Source organism: Homo sapiens, chromosome 1 (genome assembly GCF_000001405.40).
Source record: "Homo sapiens chromosome 1, GRCh38.p14 Primary Assembly".
Lineage (NCBI taxonomy): Eukaryota > Metazoa > Chordata > Mammalia > Primates > Hominidae > Homo > Homo sapiens.
In genome coordinates, this window is record NC_000001.11 from 205,275,247 (window position 1) to 205,298,984 (window position 23,738).

The 23,738-nt window shown below is 50.5% G+C and overlaps 6 annotated features.

The window, feature by feature from the left end:
* Positions 587-1,246: an enhancer, noted in NCBI's record as "H3K27ac-H3K4me1 hESC enhancer chr1:205244961-205245620 (GRCh37/hg19 assembly coordinates)". NCBI's record gives its function as "activates a minimal SCP1, AML or CMV promoter by ChIP-STARR-seq in naive H9 embryonic stem cells {active_cell/tissue: H9 hESC(naive)}" and the evidence as "EXISTENCE:reporter gene assay evidence [ECO:0000049][PMID:30033119]".
* Positions 9,252-9,351: an enhancer, noted in NCBI's record as "active region_2377". NCBI's record gives its function as "activates an Ori minimal core promoter by ATAC-STARR-seq in GM12878 lymphoblastoid cells {active_cell/tissue: GM12878}" and the evidence as "EXISTENCE:reporter gene assay evidence [ECO:0000049][PMID:35858748]".
* Positions 16,435-16,674: an enhancer, noted in NCBI's record as "active region_2378". NCBI's record gives its function as "activates an Ori minimal core promoter by ATAC-STARR-seq in GM12878 lymphoblastoid cells {active_cell/tissue: GM12878}" and the evidence as "EXISTENCE:reporter gene assay evidence [ECO:0000049][PMID:35858748]".
* Positions 18,671-19,870: an enhancer, noted in NCBI's record as "P300/CBP strongly-dependent group 1 enhancer chr1:205263045-205264244 (GRCh37/hg19 assembly coordinates)". NCBI's record gives its function as "activates an origin of replication core promoter dependent on BRD2, BRD4, P300/CBP, MED14 and CDK7 cofactors, with strong dependence on P300/CBP, by STARR-seq in HCT116 cells {active_cell/tissue: HCT116}" and the evidence as "EXISTENCE:reporter gene assay evidence [ECO:0000049][PMID:35650434]".
* Positions 18,671-20,252: a biological region, named in NCBI's record as "P300/CBP strongly-dependent group 1 enhancer GRCh37_chr1:205263045-205264244".
* Positions 19,399-20,252: an enhancer, noted in NCBI's record as "NANOG-H3K27ac-H3K4me1 hESC enhancer chr1:205263773-205264626 (GRCh37/hg19 assembly coordinates)". NCBI's record gives its function as "activates a minimal SCP1, AML or CMV promoter by ChIP-STARR-seq in primed H9 embryonic stem cells {active_cell/tissue: H9 hESC(primed)}" and the evidence as "EXISTENCE:reporter gene assay evidence [ECO:0000049][PMID:30033119]".

Genomic DNA, 23,738 nt, shown 5'->3' on the forward strand with positions numbered 1-23,738 from the left:
ATTCATGTTGAAGTTGGCACGTTACTGCTCCAGCAGCACTGAGCAGGCAGGTGGCATGTTTACCATGCCCGTGCAGAGCTGGCACTCCCTGCCAACCTCATCAAAACTGTAGGGCTACAACAGGTGCAGCCCTGGCAAACAGCAAAGCAGGCAGACAGCACAGGCCAGCAGGAGGTGACTTAACCCCTGCCAGCACAGGTTACTCTGGAGTGGTTCTGAGCTATGGAGGGAGGGAAGGGAGGAGGAAAGACTTGGGGCCACAGGGTGGGAGAGGAGGGGAGCTGCAGCCTGGGCACCTGGAGGGATCTTCATGGCAGGTTCAATTTCCCTTTCAAAGCCAGGGCCCTTAAGTCAAGTCTGGATCCCAATATTAAGGAGCCAGCAGACCTAGGCTCAAACCCCAGTGCTGCCACTCACCTTGGACAGGGTTCCAGCTGCTCTCAGCCCAATCTCCTCATCTTCCAGGAGGAATGGAGATGACATGGCACTGGCTCACAGGCTTGGGTGCAGGAGACTTGACATTCTGCAGGTCAAGACTTAAGCACAAGGCCTAGAATATGATGGATTAACCCGAGACTGGACTTATTACTGCTCCTCTTTCCTGAGCCTGTAAGATATTAAGATGCAGAAGAACTCTTCAGGGAAGTCTAAGGCCGACCCCACAGGAACATACAAGGCCAAGGGTGGCTAAGTGAGCCTCAGCCTCTGATTCTGGAAAACCTAATAGAGGTCCTTAGGGTTCCTCTTCCCTGGGAACCCAGAGCCTGCTTATTCCCAGCAGCCTCTCCCCTCGGTCTGGTAGACAAAGCTGGTCCAGTCCCAAGAGGCCAAGCCCCAGCTTGAGAGAGGACTGGATTCAGCCTATTTGACCCAAGATGGCTGCCAACACCCCAGCTCCACAAGTGTATCAGTCTGTGGGTCCCTCCCGCCTCCAGCCCATGGTCCTGGGTGTGGGGTCTAGGAAGGAGAGCAGGAATCAAGATGCCTGCTTTTGAGTTGAGACTGTGGAGGTTGTGGGCCTCAGTTTCCCCAGCTGAAACATGGGGATAATCATATCCGTGCTGCCCAACTGTTAGGACACCGGTGAGGCTCGTAGGTGTCAGCTATGAGTGCCTGCCCCATGACACCCCAGGATCTCACTCTAGGGGAATGACCTGTTAGAATGCTGCCAGCCATCTGGGGCCCCCAGGGAGGGCTTTGATCTGCCCAGGGACAGGGCTGGGCAGGGCTTGGGAAAGCAGCCAGCAGTGACCCATGGGCCTGACGGCTTGCAGCCAAACTCCAGATGCAGATGGAAGGAGGAAGCTTGGTCCCCACTAGGCTGCGGGGAGGCATGTGGGGAAGGAGGGGAGGCTGAGACTTGTCCCAGCACATTTGGGCCTGCTGGCAGGTCCTGAGTCACTCAGCCAGAAGAGCAGTCGGGGTGGTGACAGCAGCGATGCCCGCCAGACACAGGGCCTCCCAGGAGAGCACTCCCGCCTTGGTCCCCCCATACCCCAAGGCTCGACTGTCCGGATGAAGCATCCTGGGCCCAGCGGTGCCACCTCAGCCATGCGCCTGCCTCCAGGCAGCCATCCACTAAGCTGGCTCTGATTCCAAAAGCCCCAGAGGTGATCCTGAGAGGTCTGGGTGCCCAGTCTCGGCGCCCTGCCAGCCTCAGCTGAAGGTTCTCTTGTTGCCCTTACTGTGTTTTTTTGTTTTGTTTTGTTTTTAAGTGAAACAAATTATTTCAGTTTAATTTTCTCAGCATGTATCTGGCATTAAGTAGTTGTTATAATTTTTTTTCCATAGGTTATTGGGGAACAGGTGGTGTTTGGTTACATGAGTAAGTTCTTTAGTGGGGATTTGTGAGATTTTGGTGCACCCATCACCCAAGCAGTGTGCACTGTACCCTATTTGTAGTCTTTTATCCCTCTCTTGTTGCCTTACTTTGATTTTTTTTTTTTTTTTTTGAGACAAAGTCTTGCTCTGTCGCCCAAGCTGGAGGGCAGTGGCACGATCTTGGCTCACTGCAACCTCCACCTCCTGGGTTCAAGCTATTCTCCTGCCTCAGCCTCCTGAGCAGCTGGGACTACAGGTGTGTGCTACCATGCCCAGCTAATTTGTTTTTTGTTTGTTTGTTTGTTTTGTTTTTTTGAGACGGAGTTTTGCTCTTGTTGCCCAAGCTGGAGTGAAATGGAATGATCTTGGCTCACCGTAACCTCCGCCTCCCAGGTTCAAGTGATTCTCCTGCCTCAGCCTCCCAAGTAGCTGGGATTACAGGCATGCGCCACCATGCCTGTAATACTAATTTGGTATTTTTAGTAGAAATGGGGTTTCTCCATGTTGGTCAGGTTGGTCTCGAACTCCCAACCTCAGGTGATCTGCCCACCTCAGCCTCCCAAAGTGCTGGGATTACAGGTGTGAGCCACTGCACCCAGCCTCATTTTTGTATTTTTAGTAGAGACTGGGTTTTACCATATTGTCCAGGCTGGTCTCGAACTCGTGACCTCAGGTGATCCACCTGCCTCAGCCTCCCAAAGTGCTGGGATTACAGGCATGAGCCACTGCGCCCGGCCACTTTGGTTATTCTTGCTGTGATCTCAGCTCCCTGAAGATAAGTCTCAAGTAAACACTTTAGAAAGATCTGAGTGTTTCTCTGGCTGGTCTGGGGCTCTGTTCTTTGCTCTCCTGTAGGAAGAGTGAGTCCTCTCCGTACCACCCTAGTTAAGAAACCATCCACTCCTACCTGGCGCTGTCTCCAGCTATTACTTAACTGGGGTCCCTCTGTCCTTTTTCTAGTTGGGGTCAGCCCCAGTCACCCATACTGAGCGTGGAGATGGAGAAGAGAGGATTTCCCATGAAACTGGTCATTAAATGAACTCATGCAAGAGACAAGTCACCAACACAGACCTGATGTCTCTCTGACCGGCATCCTCCTCTCGAGCTTCTCAGCCAAGTGTGGCCTGGCCTGGCCAGGCCAAGGGTGGGAAGACCTGAGTGATGGGATTCCGACTTCTGAGAAGGAAAAGGCCAAGGAGGGGTTCCCTTCCTTCTTCTTCATTTTCTCCTCTGTTGGTCTTGAAGCTCTTATCATGGTTTGGCAGCCATGGAGTCCAGGTTTGTGACCCCCAAACCACCCAGCTTTAGGTTCAATTAAATTCAAGAAACATGGTTTTGAGCTCCGGCTCTGTGACAGGCACTGGAGACACAGAGGAGCAAGACATGGTCTCTGCTGTCATGGAGCTCACGAGCTAGTGGGGACAGACACACACAAACACACACACGCACACGCACATGCACACACACACCATCAACACAAGGGCAGGCAGAGATCAATGCTGCCATAGGGCCTGGCGGGGACAGGAAGGTTTACAAGATGTAGAGCTTCCTTCTGATGGGGGCTAGGGGAGGTTTCTCCAAGCATTGGAGGAAGCATAAGAAGCAAAAAGGGACCGTGTTCTATAGCATGATGGCTTTGGTCACGTCCTGGGGTTGGAGTGGGAGACAGGGTATCCATGGCATGAGTAGCTGTGCAGTTATTTCAGGCATTAGCACTGCCTGGCCCACAACCCAGAGGGCAAGATACCTGAGGAAGGGGCTTCTAAGTCTGTGGCAGTGAGAAGGAGAATGAGGATGGCTTTCAGAGCGGGAAGGAAACTCCACCCCAGAACTCTGAGGCTTGGGGGCTTCAAAGGGGTTGTCTATGCTTGAAAGCCAAAGGTGGCTGGGCACGGTGGCTCGTGCCTGTAATCCCAGTACTTTGGAAGGCCAAGGCAGGTGGATCTTGAGGTCAGGAGTTCAAGACCAGCCTGGCCAACATAGTGAAACCCTGTCTCTACTAAAAATACTAAAATTAGCCGGGCGTGGTGGCGCGTGCCTGTAGTCCCAGCCACTCGGGAGGCTGAGGCAGGAGAATTGCTTGAACCCAGGAGGCAGAGGTTACAGTGAGCCAAGATTGCACCACTGCACTTCAGCCTGGGCAGCAGAGCGAGACTCTGTCAAAAAAAAAAAAACAAAAAAACAAGGAAAAAAAAAAGCCAAAGGGAAGGGAAACACAAAACCACAACAACCACGCAGGTGCCCCTGGCATGGGGACAACCCATTGAAAGCCAAAGGGAAGCCAGAGGGAAGCTTTCAGAAAGAAGAGAAAGAAAAAGCATTCCCTTGAGGAAGAGCTGGAGCCATCTGGCATTCTGGGGATTTGGGGATTGATGCTTAGATGTGCTGTGTGACACTGAGCAGGTAACATCACCTCTCTAGTTCTTGTGTCCCCATATCTACACAAATCAAGAACTTAGGATGGAGAGACTGACATGGCTAATGAGTGACCAAGCCCTGGGGGCTGTGGGAATACCTAAGATGGTGTCTGTGTGCAAAGCCAACTCAAGGGCAGGTTCCCAACATGGTAGAGGGGAGGCTTATGGAGTCAGGGTGGTGGAGAGTAAAGACAGGTGTGGGGCCGGGTGCAGTGGCTCACGCCTGTAATCCCAGCACTTTGGGAGGCCGAGGCGGGTGGATCACCTGAGGTCAGGAGTTCAAGACCAGCCTGGCCAACATGGCAAAACCCCATCTCTACTAAAAATGCAAAAATTAGCTAGGCGTGGTGGCGCGTGCCTTTGGTCTCAGCTACTCCGGAGGCTGAGGCAGGAGAATCGCATGAACCCGGGAGGCGGAGGTTGCAGTGAGCAAAGAAAAGACAGATCTGGGACCTGTGTTCTGACCACCAGAGGGGTCCTCAGTGCTGGATGGTCAGGCCAGTGAGGAGCTCCAGGTGAGGACAGGAGCAAGATTTGGGCTCCACTGGGCTTCCCTGGCCTCTCTGTCACCCTCCCCCAGGGGTGAGGCTGAAGATGAAAGCGATACCAGGGCTACCCTCTCTGCTTGTCAGCTTTAAGATTAAAAAGGAGGTGGCTTCCACGCAAAGCAGCTGTCATCGACTCTGGTATGATTTGAGGGTGTGGGAAGGCCCCACCCTGGCCCAAAGTCATGGCAATATGAACCCTTTTTCTGTTCAGGCCCTTATAGCTCACAAATGCTTCTTGTGTGCTGGACTGAATCATTGTATCCTCACAGCAACCTGGAGAATGGCCAGAAAGGTGTCACTGGACTCTATTTTACAGATGAGCAAGCTGAGGCTCAGAAGGATGAAGGGAACTCACTCATGGACACACAGCTAGTGGACAGCACACCCAGGATGAACCCAGGTTGGACAACAATGCTCCTGCCTGTAACTGAAGCGTGACAAGCCATATTCAGGTTAGGCGTTACTTCTTCGTGTAACATGCAGGTGTGGCTGGGTGCGGTGGCTCACGTCTGTAGTCCCACCACAGGAGACCGAGGCAGGAAGATCACTTGAGGTCAGGAGTTTGAGACCAGCTACATAGGGAGACCCTGTTTCTACCAAAAAATTAAAAAGTTAGCTGGACATGGTGGCTCACGCCTGTAGTCCCAGCTACTGGGGAGTCTGAGGTGGGAGACTTGCTTGAGCGTGGGAGGTGGAAGTCGAGGCTGCAGGCACTACATTCCAAACTGGGTGACGGAGCAAGACCATGTCTCAAAAAAAAGAAAACCAAAGAAATGGGCCCAGCATGGTGGCTCATGCCTGTAATCCCAGCACCTTGGGAGGCCAAGGTGAGTGGATTGCTTCAGCCCAGGAGTTTGAGACCAGCTTGGGCAACATGGCGAAACCCTGTCTCTACAAAAAATATAAAAGATTAGCAGAGGAGGGTGGCGCGTGACTGTAGTCCCACATACTTGGGAGGCAGAGGTGGTGGATCACTTGAGCCTGGGAGGCAGAAGTTACAGTGAGCCAAGATCATGCCACTGCACTTCAGCCTAGGCGACAGAGGGAGGTTCTGTCTCAAAACAAACAAACAAACAAACAAACAAACAAACAACAAAAATGTAGGTGCCCCTCTATTCACAACAGCAAAGACTTGGAACCAACCCACATGTCCATCAGTGATAGACTGGATTAAGAAAATGTGGCACATATACACCGTGGAATACTATGCAGCCATAAAAAAGGATGAATTCATGTCCTTTGTAGGGACATGGATGAAGCTGGAAACCATCATTCTCAGCAAACTATCGCAAGGACAAAAAAAACCAAACACCTTACTCATAGGTGGGAACTGAACAATGAGAACACTTGGACACAGGGTGGGGAACATCACACACCAGGGCCTGTCATGGGGTGGGGGGAGGGGGGAGGGATAGCATTAGGAGATATACCTAATGTAAATGACGAGTTAATGGGTTCAGCACACCAACATGGCACATGTATACATATGTAACAAACCTGCACATTGTGCACATGTACCCTAGAACTTAAAGTATAATAATAAAAAAAAATGTAGGTGCCCCTGGTGTGGGTGACAACCCATTGAACACTCTCCTGCTTTTCAGGAGAAAGGGAAGGTTGGAGTTCGGGAAGTTGAGGGAAAAAATCACTTTCAAAGAGGCAGAAAGCAAGACAAAATGTCTCCAAATTCTGTTGACTTTGTATTTTTTCTCAAGTCTGGGTCCTTCAGCCATGGAGCTTAACTCTAACCCCAAAAGCGAAAAGCCAGGGAGAGGTTGCAAAGGAACTGTTCACGCTTCTGTTCTTCAAACCTGTAGAAACGTTGGCTTGGGCCAGGCATGGTGGTTCATGCCTGTAATCCCAGCACTTTAAGAGGCCGAGGTGGGTGGATCACTGTAGGTCAGGAGTTCAAGACCAGCCTGGCCAACTGGTGAAACCCCATCTCTACTAAAAATACAAAAATTAACCAGGCGTGGCGGTGCTGGCCTGTAATCCCAGCTACGTGGGGGGCTGAGGCAGGAGAATCACTTGAATCCGGGAGGTGGAGGTTGCAGTGAATTGAGGTCGCGCCACCGCACCCCAGCCTGGGCGACAGAGTAAGACTCCATCTCAAAAAAAAAGAAAAAAAGAAAGAAACATCAGGGCCAGGCGTAATGGCTCACACCTGTAATCCCAGCACTTTGGGAGGTCAAGGCAGGTGGGTCACCTGAGGTCAGGAGTTCCAGACCAGCCTGGCCAACATGGTGAAACCTCGTCTCTACTAAAAATACAAAATTTAACCAGGTGTGGTGGCACACACCTGAAGTCCCAGCTACTCAGAAGGCTGAGGCAGGAGAATCACTTGAACCCGGGAGGCGGAGGCTGCAGTGAGCCAAGATTGGGACACTGCACTCCAGCATGGGCAACACAGTGAGACTGTCTCAAAAAATAAAAAAAGAAACATTTGCTTCGTGTAGGAGCTGGGGTATCCAGAGGTGAGCTCGACAGACTCTGCGTGAACATCTTGAAATCTATCGGGAAAGACAGAGATGAAAATAGGTCAGTGACAAGAGAGCTTGGTAAGTGCCAAAATAAAGTCAGGATCTGAGGAAGAGTACAGAGCAACAAACTGCCAGAGGCGAGCTGGATCAGCAGGCAGAGCTCTCTCGGCTCCATGACACACCCATCATCACACACTTCACCCATCCCAGCGCCTCGTTAGCCTTCCAGCCAGAAAGTCTTTTTTTTGGGGGGGATAAGGTCTCACTGCAGTGCAGTGGCACCATCTCAGCTTACTGCAGGCTTGAGCTCCTGGGCTCAAGCGATCCTCCCACCTCAGCCTCCCGAGTAGCTGGTGGGACCACACCCACTAATGCACCCGGCTAATTGTTTTTTTATTGTAGAGATGAAGTCTCACTACGTTGTAGAGATGAAGTTCACTATGTTGCCCAGGCTGGTCTTGAACTCCTGGGCTCAAGCAATCTTCCCACCTCGGCCTCCCAAAGCAGAAAGTCCTTTCTGTTACCTCGTTTAAGTGTCCCTTGTCCAGCAGTGCCCAGTACACCTGACCATGGCCAAGGACCTCACCCTATGATCTCAGCAACTAGAAGACAAAGGGCTGTTAGGCTGGATGCGGTGGCTCACGCCTGTAATCCCAGCACTTTGGGAAGCCAAGGTGGGTGGATCATGAGGTCAGGAGATCAAGACCATCCTGGCCAACATAGTGAAACCCCGTCGCTACTAAAAATACAAAAATTAGCCAGGCGTGATGGCATGCACCTGTAATCCCAGCTACTCAGGAGGCTAAGGCAGGAGAACTGCTTGAACCTGGGAGGCGGAGGTTGCAGTGAGTCGAGATCATGCCACTGCACTCCAGCCTGGGTGACAAAGCGGGATTCTGTTTCAAAAAAAAAAAAGAAGAAGAAAGAAAGAAAGAAAGAAAGAAAGAAGGAAGGGAAAGAAAGAAAGAGAGAGAGAGAAAGAAAGAAAGGAAGAGAAAGAAAGAAGGAAAGAAAGAGGCGACTGTGGAAAAGGATGATTAGGGACGCTAAGGAAGGTAAGAGGTATTTTATCCTTTTGTACAAATTTGCCTCAGCCTCAACTCCTCATCTCTGGTGACAAAAACGTTTCTTTCCCCCCGGGGACAGGGAGAAAAGGGAGGAGGTCAGAGTTTGTCTTTTGTATCAGCTGTTTTTCAAGTGAGAGTAACCCTTATGCTGAAATGGCATATTTTGGTGTGGCATATTCTGTCCCTCTTCAAAGATACATGAGACGACATATGCAAAGCATTTTGCATTGTAAGATGCTTATTACTGTCACTTCACAGATGGGAAATGAGATCTAGGCAACTCTCAGGGTCCAGCCACCAGAAGGTTGAGGAATGCGGGCTCTAACCTACATCTGTCGACTCCAAAGCCACACAGCCGCCCACACAAGGTAGCTCTTTTCCTCACCTCACCCCCTGAGCTCTGGAACACCTTTGTTCTGCCCAAACGAGAATGAAGCAGCAACGGAGGCAGCGGCAGGGGAACTGTAAGGTGGCCCCAAACTCAGACTGTCCCCAAGTTGGAGGCCTGCTAGGGCCTGGGAGCACAGCAGTCCCCCACCAGGGAGTCTTCCCTTCCCCACCTGCCCACTGCAGACTGGGCACCCCTGCTGCATGTGTCTGACCTCTGTGAACCTCAGTTTCCCCAACATACAATAACCCTGACAGTCTGTCATTCTGTGCTTCTGTGACGTCAGCCTTAGGAGTTATCAGGGACCCAAACTTGGGCTTCACAGGGGGCAGGATGGAGGCCCTGCCACTCGGACCAGACCAGGTTGTGGTGAGGGGCAAGGGTGGTGCCTCCAGGCACCAATCCAGAGTGACCTCACTCTCTGCAGGCTCCCCTGGGGCCCTGAGGGAGGGTGGGGTGCTGGACAGGCCTGCTAGATGGGAGCAGGTTTGGAAGGAGGTTTAGGAAGGGTGCGGTGGGGAAGGTGTGCCGCTCAGGTTCAGTGTGATCACTAGAGAGGGGCACGCCTGCCTGCATCGTCTGCCATGCCAGACAGGGCAGGACAGCTTCTCCCCCAGCCTGGGCCTTTAGGATCCACTGTGTGACCATCCTGAGCCCCTTAGCAAGGTGTGAGCGGGGTTGGACACCCTCCCCTCAACATCCATCTAATGTCAGCCACCAGCCCTGCCTTGCTGCATGATGGGAAATCAGGGTAAGGGAGCCAAACCCCAGCTGCTCTCAGAGCTGTGAGGACAAGAGTGGAAAACCTGCCCTCACAGGCCCAGCTGGCCAGAGGGCTTGTCTCTTTCAGTCGCCCTCCCCCAGAGGGAGCAGGAGCAGACAATGGCCACCATGACTCACCAGTGAGCCATCTTCCCCTCCCCACCCCTCCAGCCTGGCCCATGACAGCTTAGCTTGTCCTCCAAGGGAGCTGCAGCCCAGCCTCCCAGGGCCGCCAGCTTCCTCTCTCTTCACCCAACCTGGCTCCCCCCCTGCTTGTGCAACACCACATCAGAGGGTTGTGAAGTGGAGAGGGAGGAGTTTGACAGCTGCAGACCCAGGCAGACAGAGCAGACTCCTTTGTGAAGGAGATAGAGGCTGCAGGGGCCCAAGTCCAGCCTGTACTCCCCTGCCCTGACCCACAAGGCATCACCCAGTCTCCCCAAACCCTAGGGAAGTGGTCATTGTCATTTATTTGTTCCTTTCTTAGATAGAGCTTGGATCCTGTCTGCAATTTATTCCTTCCTGCAAAACCAAGTATGTGAGGCAGAGGAAAGTCCTATTCCATTCCAGGAGGGACAGGGCTCCCTGTTGGAAAGTATTTCCTTTTGCTAAGTTTCTATCTGCCTCCCGGGTAGACTCCACTAGGCAGTATTTCAAGAAGTTAACGCACTTCCAATCCCCATCTAACCTATATTCTTTGCCGCAAGCCAAATACCCTTAGTTCTTTCAGTCATTTCTCCTAAGACATGGATTTAAGACCTTTTGACAGCTTGGCCTGTATCCTCTGGAAACATTTCCATTTACCCAAGTTCTTCTTAAAACATTATGTCTTTGTCCAGGTGCAGTGGCTCACGCCTGTAATCTCAAAGTGGAGGCTGAGGGAGGAGCATCAGTTGGGTCCAGGAGTTTGAGATCAGCCTGGGCAAGATGACAAGACCCCATCTCTAGTTAAAAAAAAAAAAAAAAATTACTGATTCTCACCAAAAAAAAAAAAAAAGCCAGGCGTGAAGACATGGGCCACCTACTTGGGAGGCTGAGGTGGGAAGATCGCTTGAGCCTGGGAGATCAAGGCTCTTGAGCCTGGGAGATCAAGGCTGCAGTGAGCTGTGATCACGCCACTGTACTCTAGCCTACGCGACAGAGTGAGACTCCATCTCTAAAAAAACGAAACTAACCAACCAAAAAAAAAAAAAAACCACAAAAAGCATGTTGTTTTGAACAGAGCGCAGTGCTCCAGCTAAGGTCAGGCCAGCACAGAGGGTGCTAATGAAATTCACCTCGCAGGCTCTGGCACTGTGGTTCTCATGAGCTCTGTTAGCTTGCCGGTATTTTCAGACCCACATAGGCATGTCCTTGTTGAGCAGGTCACTTCGGTTCATGAATACGGCCACCAAGGATTTGAGGCCCCTCTGCCTGCCCCCCATGGAGGGAGCCCTAGGGCTCAGATGGTGGCTCTTAACAGACCTCAATGGTCTGATGAAAACTCTGCATCCTCTTCCAAGAAAAACGCATCTACTCAAAAATTCTCTATATGACACCAGGACTCCCTGCAGACCATCCTCAGACCCCAGGTTAGGAATTTCCATCTGGAAGCTGATACTCAAAAATAAATTCTGAGGCAGCCTCCCTATTCAAACTGTGGGGCTCAGGGCAAATTCAAAGTAATAAAGTAATAACCTCTCACACGAGTGCTGTGCTCGACAACTCACAATACACGTTCACGTACATTGCTGGGATAGACCCTAGGGTCTGGATTATAATCGAATAAAGGAGGTCAAGGCCCAGAGAGGTCCAGTGACTTGCTCAAGGTCACACAGCCAATCTGGGCAAAGTCACTCCAGACTCTCTTACCTTCATGGGGCCTCACAGAAGCCCAACACAATTTGCCCACCAGTGGGGAAGATGCAATGGAGAACAGGTTGCATTTGGCCCCTGGGGAAACTGGTCCTGGCTGTGTTCAGCCGGCTCCTGCCGCTGCTCCACAGAGGCACACCCAGCTTGGCCTCTGTGGTGAGCTGTGGTGAGCTGTGGTGAGCTGTGGTTTGAGCAGCCTCCCTCCTAACGAAGGCAGAGAGAAGGCCAGGTTGTCAGGCTGTGTCTTGTGAGAAGGAGGGAACCAGAGGAGGGGCAACGGCAGAAACCAGACCTGAAGCCTGAACCCCAGGAACCCAGGGGACAAAGACTCCCTGGCCACCACTTGTCCCAAGACTGCAGACACCTCACTGGCCAGGAGCATACAAGCAGGAGTATACAATGTGGCCGGGGGTGCATAGGAGTCAGGATACAGAGCCATGTTCTGTGTGTATGATGTTCACATACAGGAGCCAGACTTGACCATGGGAGACCAGTTTTTAAGTTTCCAAGGAATTCTTGCTCCCTAAACATGTACTTGACCCAGAAAACTCTTCAGCCTTCAAGGCCCAACTCCCTCCACGAAGAATCTGTCCAGTGTCTGATGACTAAAGGCCCTGGATTCAGATCCAGCTTAGGCACCGCCTGGTCATTATCTGACTTCTCTACAGACTGTGCCTCTAGTAGGCTGGAGCCCTGGACTCAACTCAATATTTCACCCCTGCCCCTAGCAATAGGGGGTCAATGGACATTTGTTCAATAAGCTCTAGACACCAGAAAGGGTGAACTGTCTCTTGGCTTCAGTTGTTCTGTGACTTCAGGCTAAATCCAAAACCTCTGCGGTCAAAGAAGGCCATTGCCACCCCTCCCCACCCTGTTCCCTCTTAGGTGGAAGGCAATTGTGGCCCTTAGAAACCCTCTGAAGAAGCATCTAACAGCTTTTCTCAGGCCGAAATGGGAGAGGGTGAAGGTTTAGGAAAGAAAACGGTCATTCTTATGTCTTTCCCCAAACCAGATGATTTCCCTTTGTTCCAAACAGTTGGCAAAGACGTCTGGGCAGAGAAAGGGTCCTGACTTGATGCACTGCTCTGCAGGCAGCTGGGTGACTCCGGCCTCTGTTGGTTTGCAGCCTGGGCCAGGGCTGGGGAGTTGCTGAGGGGTGGGCTCAGGCTCACAGTAGGTAGGCTGCTGCTTGGGCTTTCAACTATTACCTCTGATCACAATGAATTCATGAATTTATATTAGTTTGATGCATATCTCTTCCACTGGACTTCCAACCTCTGGAGCGCAGGAACCACACTGTATTTAATTCTGGAGCCTCAGGGCCTGGCACAATGTCAAGCACACAGTAAGTGCTCAGTAAGTGCTAGAGACAAAAACGCACTGCAGCCTCCCTGCCAGCCTGATTTCTGGAGCATCCCTGACTCTCTTAATGGAAAGAGCTTCTCAGAGCTTCCCAAGCTGACTAGAGGAGGGACTGTCATGGTCATGGGCCCTGCTTCCCTCTTATAGTTCTCTTAGCTGGAAGGCAGGATCCTTCTCCTCTGAGCTGCTTCTGAGGCCACTTATTTGTTTATTTCCAAACCCAAAAATGCTTCTTAGGTTTTGCTGCCACCTGACTTGAAGCTCTGACCACCCCAGTGCTACTTCTGCTCTGCCCCATCCAGACATCAAGCGAGATTCATTCCCCCAGCCTCAGACAAACCACACCCCTATCACAACCGTAACTATTCTTAGCAGAGCAGGAAGGGGGGCGCTGCCGAATGACCTCGCTGCCTATAGAGACTTCACCTCCACCCACCCTTCACTCACCCGGTGTCACTTCCCCCTTTTAATAACAACAACACTGACACCAAGTTTCACTTCCACCACTTCCTGTGGGTTTTGTTCATCCTCAGCTGCTGAGGTTTCTAGAGGGTGGGTGAGTCTCTGGCCCAGCTGCAGGAAGGTCCCTCTGACTATAAACTCTACCCCTAAGCATTTAGAGGCTTGCCCTTCAGTCCTCAGACACATTCACCTTTCTTTTTTTTTGCTTTTTTTTTTTGTTTTTTTTTTTGAGGTAGAGTCTCACTCTGCTGCCCAGGCTGGAGTGCAGTGCAGTGGCACGATCTTGGCTCGCTGCAACCTCTGCCTCCCAGCTTCAAGTGATTCTCCTGTCTCAGCTTCCTGAGTAGCTGGGATTACAGGCATGTGCCACCATACCTGGCTAATTTTTGTATTTTTAGTAGAGGCAGTATTTCTCCATGTTGGCCAGGCTGGTCTTGAACTCCTGACCTCAGCCTCCCAAAGTGCTGGGATTATAGGTGTGAGCCACCGCACCTGGCCACATTCTCCTTTTTTTTCTTTTTTTTTTTTTTCCAGACAGAGTTTTGCTCTTGTTGCCCACGCTGGAGTGCAATGGTGTGATCTCAGCTCACCGCAACCTCCGCCCTCTGGGTTCAAGCGATTCTCCTACCTCAGCCTCCCAAGTAGCTGGGATTACAGGCATACACCACGACACCCGGCTAATTTTGTATTTTTAGTAGAGACGGGGTTTCTCCATGTTGGTCAGGCTGGTCTTGAACTCCTGACCTCAGGTGATCCGCCTGCCTTGGCCTCCCAAAGTGCTGGGATTACAGGCATGAGCCACCACACTTGGCCCACATTCTCCTTTTTTAAAGCTGTCCAGAATAGGGGATTCTCCATCCTTCCCTGGGTCAGAATCCCAATATCTGATCCAAGTTCATCCTGTTGACTAACCCAAATCTCTCCTGCTATTAGGGTTGCCATATTTTGCAAGTAAAAATACAGAACACAGAACACCCATTTAAATTTGAATTTCAGATAAACAATGAATAGAAGGCCAGGGGCAGTGGCTTATGCCTGTAATCCCAGCACTTTGGGAGGCTGAGGTGGGCGGATCATGAGGTCAGGAGTTCGAGACCAGCCTGATCAACATGGTGAAACCCTATCTCTACTAAAAATACAAAAATTAGCCGCGTGTGGTGGCGTGCGCCTGTAATCCCAGCTACTCAGTAGGCTGAGGCAGGAGAATTGCTTGAACCCAGGAGACGGAGGTTGTAGTGAGCCGAGACTGTACCACTGTACTCCAGCCTGGGCAAAAGAGCAAGACTCCGTCTCAAAAAAAAAAAAAACAAAAAAAAAAATGAATAACTTTTTAGTTAAGCATGTCCTGTGTAATATTATACTAAAAAAAAATTCATTGTTTATCGGAAATTCAAATGTAACTGGACATCCTTTCTTTTATCTGGCAACCCCCTGCCTGCTGTATTCCTTCTCTTTTTGTTTGGAGACAGTCTTACTGTGTCACCCAGGCTAGAGAGCAGTGGTGTGATCTCAACTCACTGCAGCCTCAACCTCCTAGGCTCAAGGGATCCTCCCACCTCAGCCTCCCAGATAGCTGGGATTACAGGCACATACCACCATGCTCAGCTAATTTTTGCATTTTTAGTAGAGATGGGGTTTCGCCATATAGCCCAGGGTGGTCTTGAACTCCTGGCCTCAAGTGATCCACCCGCCTCATCCTCCCAGAGTGCTGGGATTACAGGCGTGAGTCGCTGCACCCAACCTTGTATTCCTTCGCATGAAAGCAGCAGTTCTCAACCATTTTGATCTCAGGATCTCTTTACACTGTTAGAAATTATTGAGGACACCCAAAGAAGCTTTGTTGATGTGGGTGAATGATAGCTACTGGTATTTACCATATTAGAAAGGCAAACAGACATTTTAAAAGTAGTAATTAAGGCCAGGCGCGGTGGTTCAAACCTGTAATCCCAGCACTTTGGGAGGCCAAGGCGGGTGGATCACTTGAGGTCGGGAGTTCCAGACCAGCCTGGCCAACATGGAGAAACCCCCGTCTCTACTAAAAATACAAAAATTACCCAGGCATGGTGGCAGGCGCCTGTAATCCCAGCTACTTGGGAGGCTGAGGCAGGAGAATCGCTTGAAGCCGGGAGGTGGAGGTTGCGGTGAGCCAAGATCTCACCATGGCACTCCAGGCTGGGCAACAAGAGCAAAACTCCATCTCAAAAAAAAAAAAGAAGAATACAAAAATTAGCCGGGCATGGTGGCACATGCCTGTAATCCCAGCTACTCAGGAGGCTGAGGCAGGAGAATCACTTGAACCTGGGAGGCGGAGGTTGCAGTGAGCCGAGATCACGACACTGCACTCCAGCCTGGGTGACAGAGTAAGTCTCAAAAAAAGAAAAAAAAGCAGGAATTAAGATAACAGTAATATCTCATTATGTACATATGTACAAAAAATAATTTTTCAAAACAAAAAAAATTATTGAGGAGAGTGGCATTGTTCTACATTATTTTACAAATATTTTTTGATTTTTCAATTTTAAATTATGTTAAAAAACATAACATAAAATTACCATCTTAACCATTTTTTTTTTTTTTTGAGACTGAGTCTCACTCTGTCGCCCAGGCTGGAGTGCAGTGGTGCGATCTCAGCTCACTGCAAGCTCTGCCTCCTGGGTTCAAGCGATTCTCCTGCCTCAACCTCTCGAGTAGCTGGGACTATAGGTGCCCACCACCACGAGCGGCTAATTTTTTGTATTTTTAGTAGAGACAGCGTTTCACCGTGTTAGCCAGGATGGTCTCAATCTGCTGATCTCGTGATCCACCCGCCTCAGCCTCCCAAAGTGCTGGGATTACAGGCGTGAGCCACCGTGCCCAGCCCATCTTAACCATTTTTAAGCATATAGTTCAATAGTGTTAAATATATTCATCAATTGAGACCAGAAGGTCAAGGCTGCAGTGAACCATGATTGCGCCACTGCACTCCAGCCTGGGCGACAGAGTGAAACTCTGCCTCAAAAAAATAAATAAATATATTCACACAATTGTGCAGAGGTAGATTCTTATACCTCCAACTGCTGCATTTGGTATGTTGTAATATCACACACCGTGAATCTCTGGAAAACTCCACTGTACACTCATGAGAGAATGAGAGTGAAAAAGGCAAATGATGTTTCCTTATTATTAGTAAAACAGTTCTAGGCCTATAATCCAGCACTTTGGGAGGCCAGGTTGGGTGGATCACTTGAGTCCAGGAGTTCGAGACCAGCCTCGAGGGCAACATAGTAAGGCCCTGTCTCTACAAAAAGTACAAAAAATTAGCCAGGGGTGGTGGCACGTGCCTGTGGTCTCACCTGAGCCCAGGAAGTCAAGGCTGCAGTGAGCCATGATCACACCACGGCACTCCAGCCTGGGTGACAGAGCGAGACCCTGTCTCATAACACCACCACCACCAACAACAAACCCCACTTCTGACTGTGTGTACCTTCTGAAAAGATTTGGGGAGCCCCCAGGGGTTCCCCCAGGGGTTCCTGGACCACACTTGGAGAACCAGTGCTCTAGCACAATGCCAGAGACTTCAGTGGTGATCGGTATCTACTCCTTTGCCCCGCAAGTTAATTTGGGATGGGGGATGATGTGACACCACACACATAATTTAATGTAATTCCAAGCTGTTCTTTTTTCTGAGATGAGTGGTGCAGATGTGGGGAATCTTGGGGCTAGAGAGACTGCCCCAAAAGGCCTGGGTATGGGACTCAGTTGTGAGGTGGACCAAGCTGACTTAGCTGTGAAGGACAGAACTGCAGTTCTGTGTTCCTGGAGCCTTAAAGAGGCATCTAAAGAAAGTCAACCCTGCTAGGCGGAAAGACAGAATGGGTGAGCCTGGTGGGAGGCCAGGGTCAAGGAGCCAGCCGTGTGCTGCCCACCCCACCCCCAACCATGACTGGCGAGGGAGGGAGTTGACCAACTCCACTCCTCACCCCTACCTGGCATCTGTCTGCCTATTCTTTTTTTTCCCCCTTTTTGTGGAGAATGGGGTCTTGAGATATTGACCAGGCAGGTTTTGAACTCCTGGGCTCAAGCTACCTTCCGCCTCTGCCTCCCTAAGTGCTGGGATTACAGGTGTGAGCCACCACGCCCAGTCTGTCTGCCCATTCTGACCCTCGTGGGCATTTCCAGCAAGGGCTGGGACAGCAAGGCTAACATTGCTTATGAGGAATGACTTGGGCTCTCAAATATCTGCTCTACTAACTCTGCCCCTGGGCCCAGGCGTGCAGAGCCCCACAGCTGGGGGGCTTATTCCTTGACTGACCAATCCAGTGACGCAAGAGTGGGGACCGAAAACAGCCAGTTTTCAGTGTAGCCACGTCAACACAAGCAGTCCCATGACAACCAGCTCCAGTGGAACTGGGGCGTCTTACTACACACACCCTTGGCACACTCACCTCTGTGCTGTTTTTTTTTTTTTTCTTTTTGAGATGGAGTTTTTGCTCATGTTGCCTAGGGTGGAGGGCAATGGTGCGATCTCGGCTTACCTCAACCTCTGCCTCCCGGGTTCAAGCAATTCTCCTGCCTCAGCCTCTCGAGTAGCTGGGATTACAGGCATGTGCCTGGCTAATTTTGTATTTTTAGTAGAGACGGGGTTTCTCCGTGTTGGTCAGGCTGGTCTCGAACTCTCGACCTCAGGTGATCCGCCCGCCTTGGCCTCCCAAAGTGCTAGGATTATAGGCGTGAGCCACAGTGCCCAGCCACCTCTGTGCTGTTAACATCCATCCTGTAGGTGTTAGTTTATGGCCCCAACTTTATTATAAGTAAATTCCTTGAAGGAGGGGACGTGCCTCAATTGCTTCTGTATTTTCCATGGCACCTAGAACAATAGTAAGGTCTTAATAAATGTTGATGTGTTTATTAGGGAATGGGTTTTCACTTGATTTAACTATCAAGTTCCCCTTTATAAGGGGCTGGGGCCAGGAAAGCGGGTGGAGGCCCTTTATTAAACATTTATTGAGTACCTGTTCTCACTCCTTAGGTTTTCTCCAGTGATGTATTGCTTAAAAAGCATGTTCATGTGTTGTCTCATTTAATCCTTGCAGTAATGTGATGGGTGTGAGCTGACTGTGAAAGTGACTCTCTAAGTCATTGCAATGCACTCTGTGGGAAGAATGTGCTAGCCCAGCAAGGCTGTCTTTGTGATGTCCGATGTGTACGTGCGTGGGGAGGCGCTCCCAAAAGCTGCGCTGGGGCAGGGTGTCCTGAACGGCGTTACCAGATGTATCTTGACAAAGAGGTTGGCACCACCATGAAGACCAATTCAACCAGCTCTCCTAGCCCAGCTTCCATGCTCTTCAAGGAGACTTCCCACTGAACTTCCGAATACCCTTGTGTGAAACTGCCACAGGCAGTGAATGTGCTCATCAGCAAACCCAAGTATCTGGTTGGTTTGACAGGGGTTTTGTTATTCATTAGAAATGAATGAATTGGCATGTTGGCTGAATCCATTCCTCTCCTAGAGCTCAGTGAGTCTGCTCCTGAGCCTCCTAGCCTGTTGATAAGCAAGGTTTCTGAGCAGCAAAGTGAGGCTGCTCACTTTGGCAAACAGGTCTTCAGGTGAGCCCGGCCACCATGTGAGGCCCTGTTGGCAGGCCAGGCTCTCCCCAGGCCCCACCTGGCCTCACCAATGGCTCTTGGATTCACAGAGGACTGCACATTGGACTGGGAGACAGGGCAAGCCAGGGGTCCCTTAGCAGAGAAGGGATCCCTGCCAGTAACTAGCCTGCTGTGAGTATGAAGTTGCCACTTACCAAGGACCCTCCTGATGGACACAACAAAGGCGATGGGTGATTGCTGCCAGGGCTCATAAAGAGGTGATTCAGAATCTAGCTGGGGGAACTTTGAAAGGTCATTGCACCTTGACCCTAGCTTCCAGGCGGGACATGTGGTGAGTTCTGCTGCAATGGCTGGGTGCCCTCACAGGCCAGAGCTCAGGTTAATGCAGCTCAGAGCTCGAATTCTGATCACAGGAAGAGAATGGTGAGGAGGATGGAGGCAGGGGTGCTGGCTGGGCCCAGAACACCAAAGGCAGAGCTGAACACTTCCACTGGGAAGTGGGGGTTTTGGCCTCTTGGGCTGGGAAATTCCTGGCCGGCACTGTCTGTTTATCAGGGAAGCTGAGTCAGACTGAAACGTATCTCCTAAAAAGCTCTGCTATTTCTAGGATTCCATCCGGTCAAAGCCAGCCTCCTCTTCCCTGGGGAATTCCTTTGAGGGTGGAGAGATAGAGGGGACAGACTGGCCTTTTCCTAGACATGGAAACCTGAAATCTGAGTTTTTGCCCATTTATGGACCTGAAATCCCCTCCCCCACCTAGGATGACTCATCCCCCAGCTTGACCCAACTGCCCCTAGAGAGGGGAAAGGGTGAAACTGAGATGGTGGGATTAGCTCAGGGAGGGGGTTGGAGGCTGGAAAGAGAAAGGAAAAGACAACTGAAAAGGATGGGGAATTCCTTTGCAAAGAGATGGTGAGGAGAGGATTTCAGAGCCAAAAAGAGGCAGAATGAGAAAGAGAGAAAGATTTTCATCCCAGAGGGAAGCTGCATGCCTGGCAGAGTAAAAATCTTCCAGGTTAAGGTAGGTTCAGGCCCTCACCTTGAGTAAATTCTGGAACTTTAGTGTGATCAGAGCCACTTGCCGTGCTTGTGAAAATGCAGAGATTCCCGTGCCCTCCCTGGGCTGTGATCCGCTTCCAGGCTCCTTCAGGGATCTGAAGTAGGAAGTTCTGAAACACAGAAAGAGGATTGACTGGGAATCCTTCTCCCAACCTGGGGCCTCTGCTGTATAAAGCGACTCACAACCCCTCTGCAGGTGCCAATGTCAGAGGCAGAGCCCTGGTCCAAGGGTGACGTTTCTAACATTCTTATAAAAATCTGTGAAAGACTTTGGCCAGGCCCAGTGGCTCAAGCCTGTGATCCCAGCACTTTAGGAGGCTGAGGCAGGTGGATCTCTTGAGGTGAGGAGTTCGAGACCAGCCTGGCCAACATGGCAAAACCCGTCTCTACTAAAAATACAAAAAAATTAGCTGGGTGTGGTGGCATGCACCTGTAGTCCCAGCTACTGGAGGAGCAGGGGGGCGCTGAGGTGGAGGATCGCTTGTGCTCAGGAGGTCGAGGCTGCAGTAAGCTGAGATTGCACCATTGTACTCCAGCCTGGGCCACAGAGTGAGATCCTGTGTCAAAAAAAAAAAAGACTTTTTATCGGATGGAGAAAGCCAGTCCCCACCAGGCCAAATATGCCTCCTCATTGCAGCACTGCCCACCTCCCCACATAATCATATCAGAGAAGCTTTGGAAAGAACTGCTTTCCTAGTCAATACAATCCTAGGATCTTTACAGCCAGAAGGGACTTCTTCAGGTATCATCTGGCGGGATTTTTCACCTGAAGCAGAAATTCCTTCTAGCAACAACCCCCACATCTCTATCTCCAACCCAAATCTCTCAAACTCCAGGCTCCTCATACCACTTATCTTTGCCTGGAGGCCTAAGTGCCTCTGACTTCACCTCACACCTCCTCCATCTGCAAGTCTTCCCCGACCCAGCTAATGGACACTCTACCCTCCAAGTTTCTCAGGCCAGAGACCATGGAGTGATTCTTGGTTTCTCTCTTTCTTTCATACCCTACATCTAATCCATCAGGAAAGCCTGTTGGCTCTAGCTTCAGAATATGTCAGAAATCTGACAACTTGTCATTTCTTTACTACTGACTCCAGTCCAAGCCCCATTACCTCTTTCCAGAATTGGACAATGTCGACCCTCCCATGGCTAGTCTCAACAAGCAGAAGAATTTTTTTTAATTCTATCTCAAAAAAAAAAAATGTCATTCCTTTGCTCAGAACTTCCTGGTGGTTGGCAATTTCATTCTGAATAAAAGCCACAGCCCATGTAATGGTTCACAAGGCCCTGTGTAATCTACCTTCCCCACCCTTGTTACCTCTCCTGACACGTCTTCTGCTACTCTCTCATGCACTCTGCTCCAGCATCAATGGCTGTTCTAGAACTTGCAACCTGCTCTTGCCTTGAGGCCTTTGCAATGGTTGTTCCCTCCACCCTGAACACTGTTCCCCCAGATAGCCACATAGCTAGCTCCACCCCCAACCCCTGCCACCAGGTTTTTATTCAAATGCCACCTTCTCAGGAAGGCCTTCTCTGATCACCCTTATTTAAAATTTCAATCCTGTCTCCTCTCCATCCCCATACCCCATCCTTATTATTAGTATTTTCCTAATTCTTATCATGACTATTTATTTATTTTTTGATATGGAGTCTTGCTCTATCGCTCAGGCTGGAGTGCAGTGGCACTATCTTGGCTCACTGCAACCTCTGCCTCCCGGGTTCAAGCTACTCTCCTGCCTCGGCCTCCTGAGTAGCTGGGATTACGGGCGCCTGCCACCATGCCCAGCTAATATTTGTATTTTTAGTAGAGACAGGGTGTCACCATGTTGGCCAGGCTGGTCTCGAACTCCTGACCTCAGGTGATCCTGCCTTTCTCTGCCTCCCAAAGTGCTGGGATTACAGGCATGAGCCACCATGCCAGGTCTATTTATTTATTTACTTATGAGACAGCGTCTCACTTTGTTGCCCAGACTGGAATACAGTGGTGCAATCTCTGCTCACTGCAACCTCTGCCTCCCGGGCTCAAGCAATCTTCCCACCTCCACCTCCCAAGTAGCTGGTACTACAGGTGTGTGCTACCATTCCTGACTAATTTTTCTTCTTTCTTTCTTTTTAGAGATAGGTTCTCACTCTCTTGCCCAGGCTGGAGTACAGTGGTACAATCTTGGCTTACTGCAGCCTTGACCTCCCAGGCTCAAGCAATCCTCCCACCTCATCCTCCCGAGTAGCTGAGACTACAGATGTGAACCACCACACCCGTCTAACTTTTGCATTTTTTTGTAGAGACAGGGTTTGGCCATGTTGCCCAGGCTGGTCTGGAACTCCTGGACTCAAGTGACCTGCCTGCCTTGACCTCCCAGAATGCTGGGACTATAGGCTTGAGCCACTGTGCCTGGCCATGGCCTTTTAATATACTATATCATTTACTTATTTACTATACTTGTCTTTCTCCACTAGAATGGATGCCCCATAAGACAAAAATCTCAGTTTTGTTCACAGATGTATCTCCAGAGCCTGGAACAGTATACACTGTTGGCACTCAGTAAATACTGAATGAATGACTGAATGACTGAATGAACATCATACTTTTTTTTTTTTTTTTTTGAAACAGAGTCTTGCTCTGTCCCCATGGCTGGAGTGCAGTGGTGTGATCTTGGCTCACTGCAATCTCCACATCCTGGTTTCAAGTGACTCTCTTGCCTCAGCCTCCTGCATAGCTGGGATTACAGGCACACGCCACCACACCTGGCTAATTTTTGTAATTTTAGTAGAGACTGGGTTTCATCATGTTGGCCAGGCTGGTCTCGAACACCTGACCTCAAGTGACCCACCTGCCTCAGCCTCCCAAAGTGCTGAGATTACAGGCATGAGTCACTGCGCCCGGCCTGCATGAATGTCCTATGTAGGTGGTTGCCTTATCAAGCTGAATCTAGTGTCTCAGTAGCCCCCACTCACTGGTCCTGGTCCTGGTCCTTGTCCTGGTCCTGCTCTCTGAGCCATGGCCTGTACATCTATTCTCTTTTCCAGAAGATCAACCGTGTCATCTATTATGTGATTCCCACCCACTCCCCTTCCCCTACTTTAAAAGTGCCCAGACTCTTCAGCTAAGACCCAGGACTCTTCCTTTGTCCTGGGTCCATCCTTGTCCTCAAGACATGTGTGGGCTATCAGTCAGCGGGCTTCAGATTCTGACTCGCAGAGCTGAAGTCCGCCTCTAGAAGCTCTACTGGAGTGTGGGCACTGTGCTTTGCAGAGGACTGTTGCTTCCCAACAGTGCTCTGGATCACTGTCTCCCCTCTCACTTTATCTGCCCAAGGAGGGCCCAAGGCAGCTGATGGGATGGAGCAGGGGGAGAGGTGAAGGGGTCATCTTGATGGTGGGTACTAACATGCTGCTGCAGTTTCCCTCCCTCTACACAGAGGACTGCCTGGACTTGCCCCGGGAAAGGGCTGAGGATGGGGAGAGGATTCCTACCAGGATTTCATGGTCCTGGTTGCAGAAGGCCCTTTGCTGTCTCTCAAAGCTGCTTCCCCACCTCCCCCAACCCTCGTCATCATCTGGGTTCTTCACATTCCGGAAGCACTGATGTGGCACTAAATATTCCTGCAGCTTCAGCCTTCTCCCTTGGGGGCCCACGTCATCGCTGTGAGCCTGGTTTCTGGAATGTTTTTGATATGAAGCATCCAGGCAGGTGAGGGGAAGGGCTGTGCAGGGTGGGATCCACAGTCCCTCATCTAGGTCTCTTTGGAACCAAGAAAATAGACATTCTCTTCCAGCTCAGATTTTCTTTCCCCAGAAGGCTTCCCCCACATCCACCCCCTCACCTTGCCCACCCTTCCCTCCACCTGGCTTAGAAGAGGTTACATAAGCAGATGCAGGAGGACACAGATGTTAGGACCGAATGGTTATGTTAGGACACAGATGTTAGGACT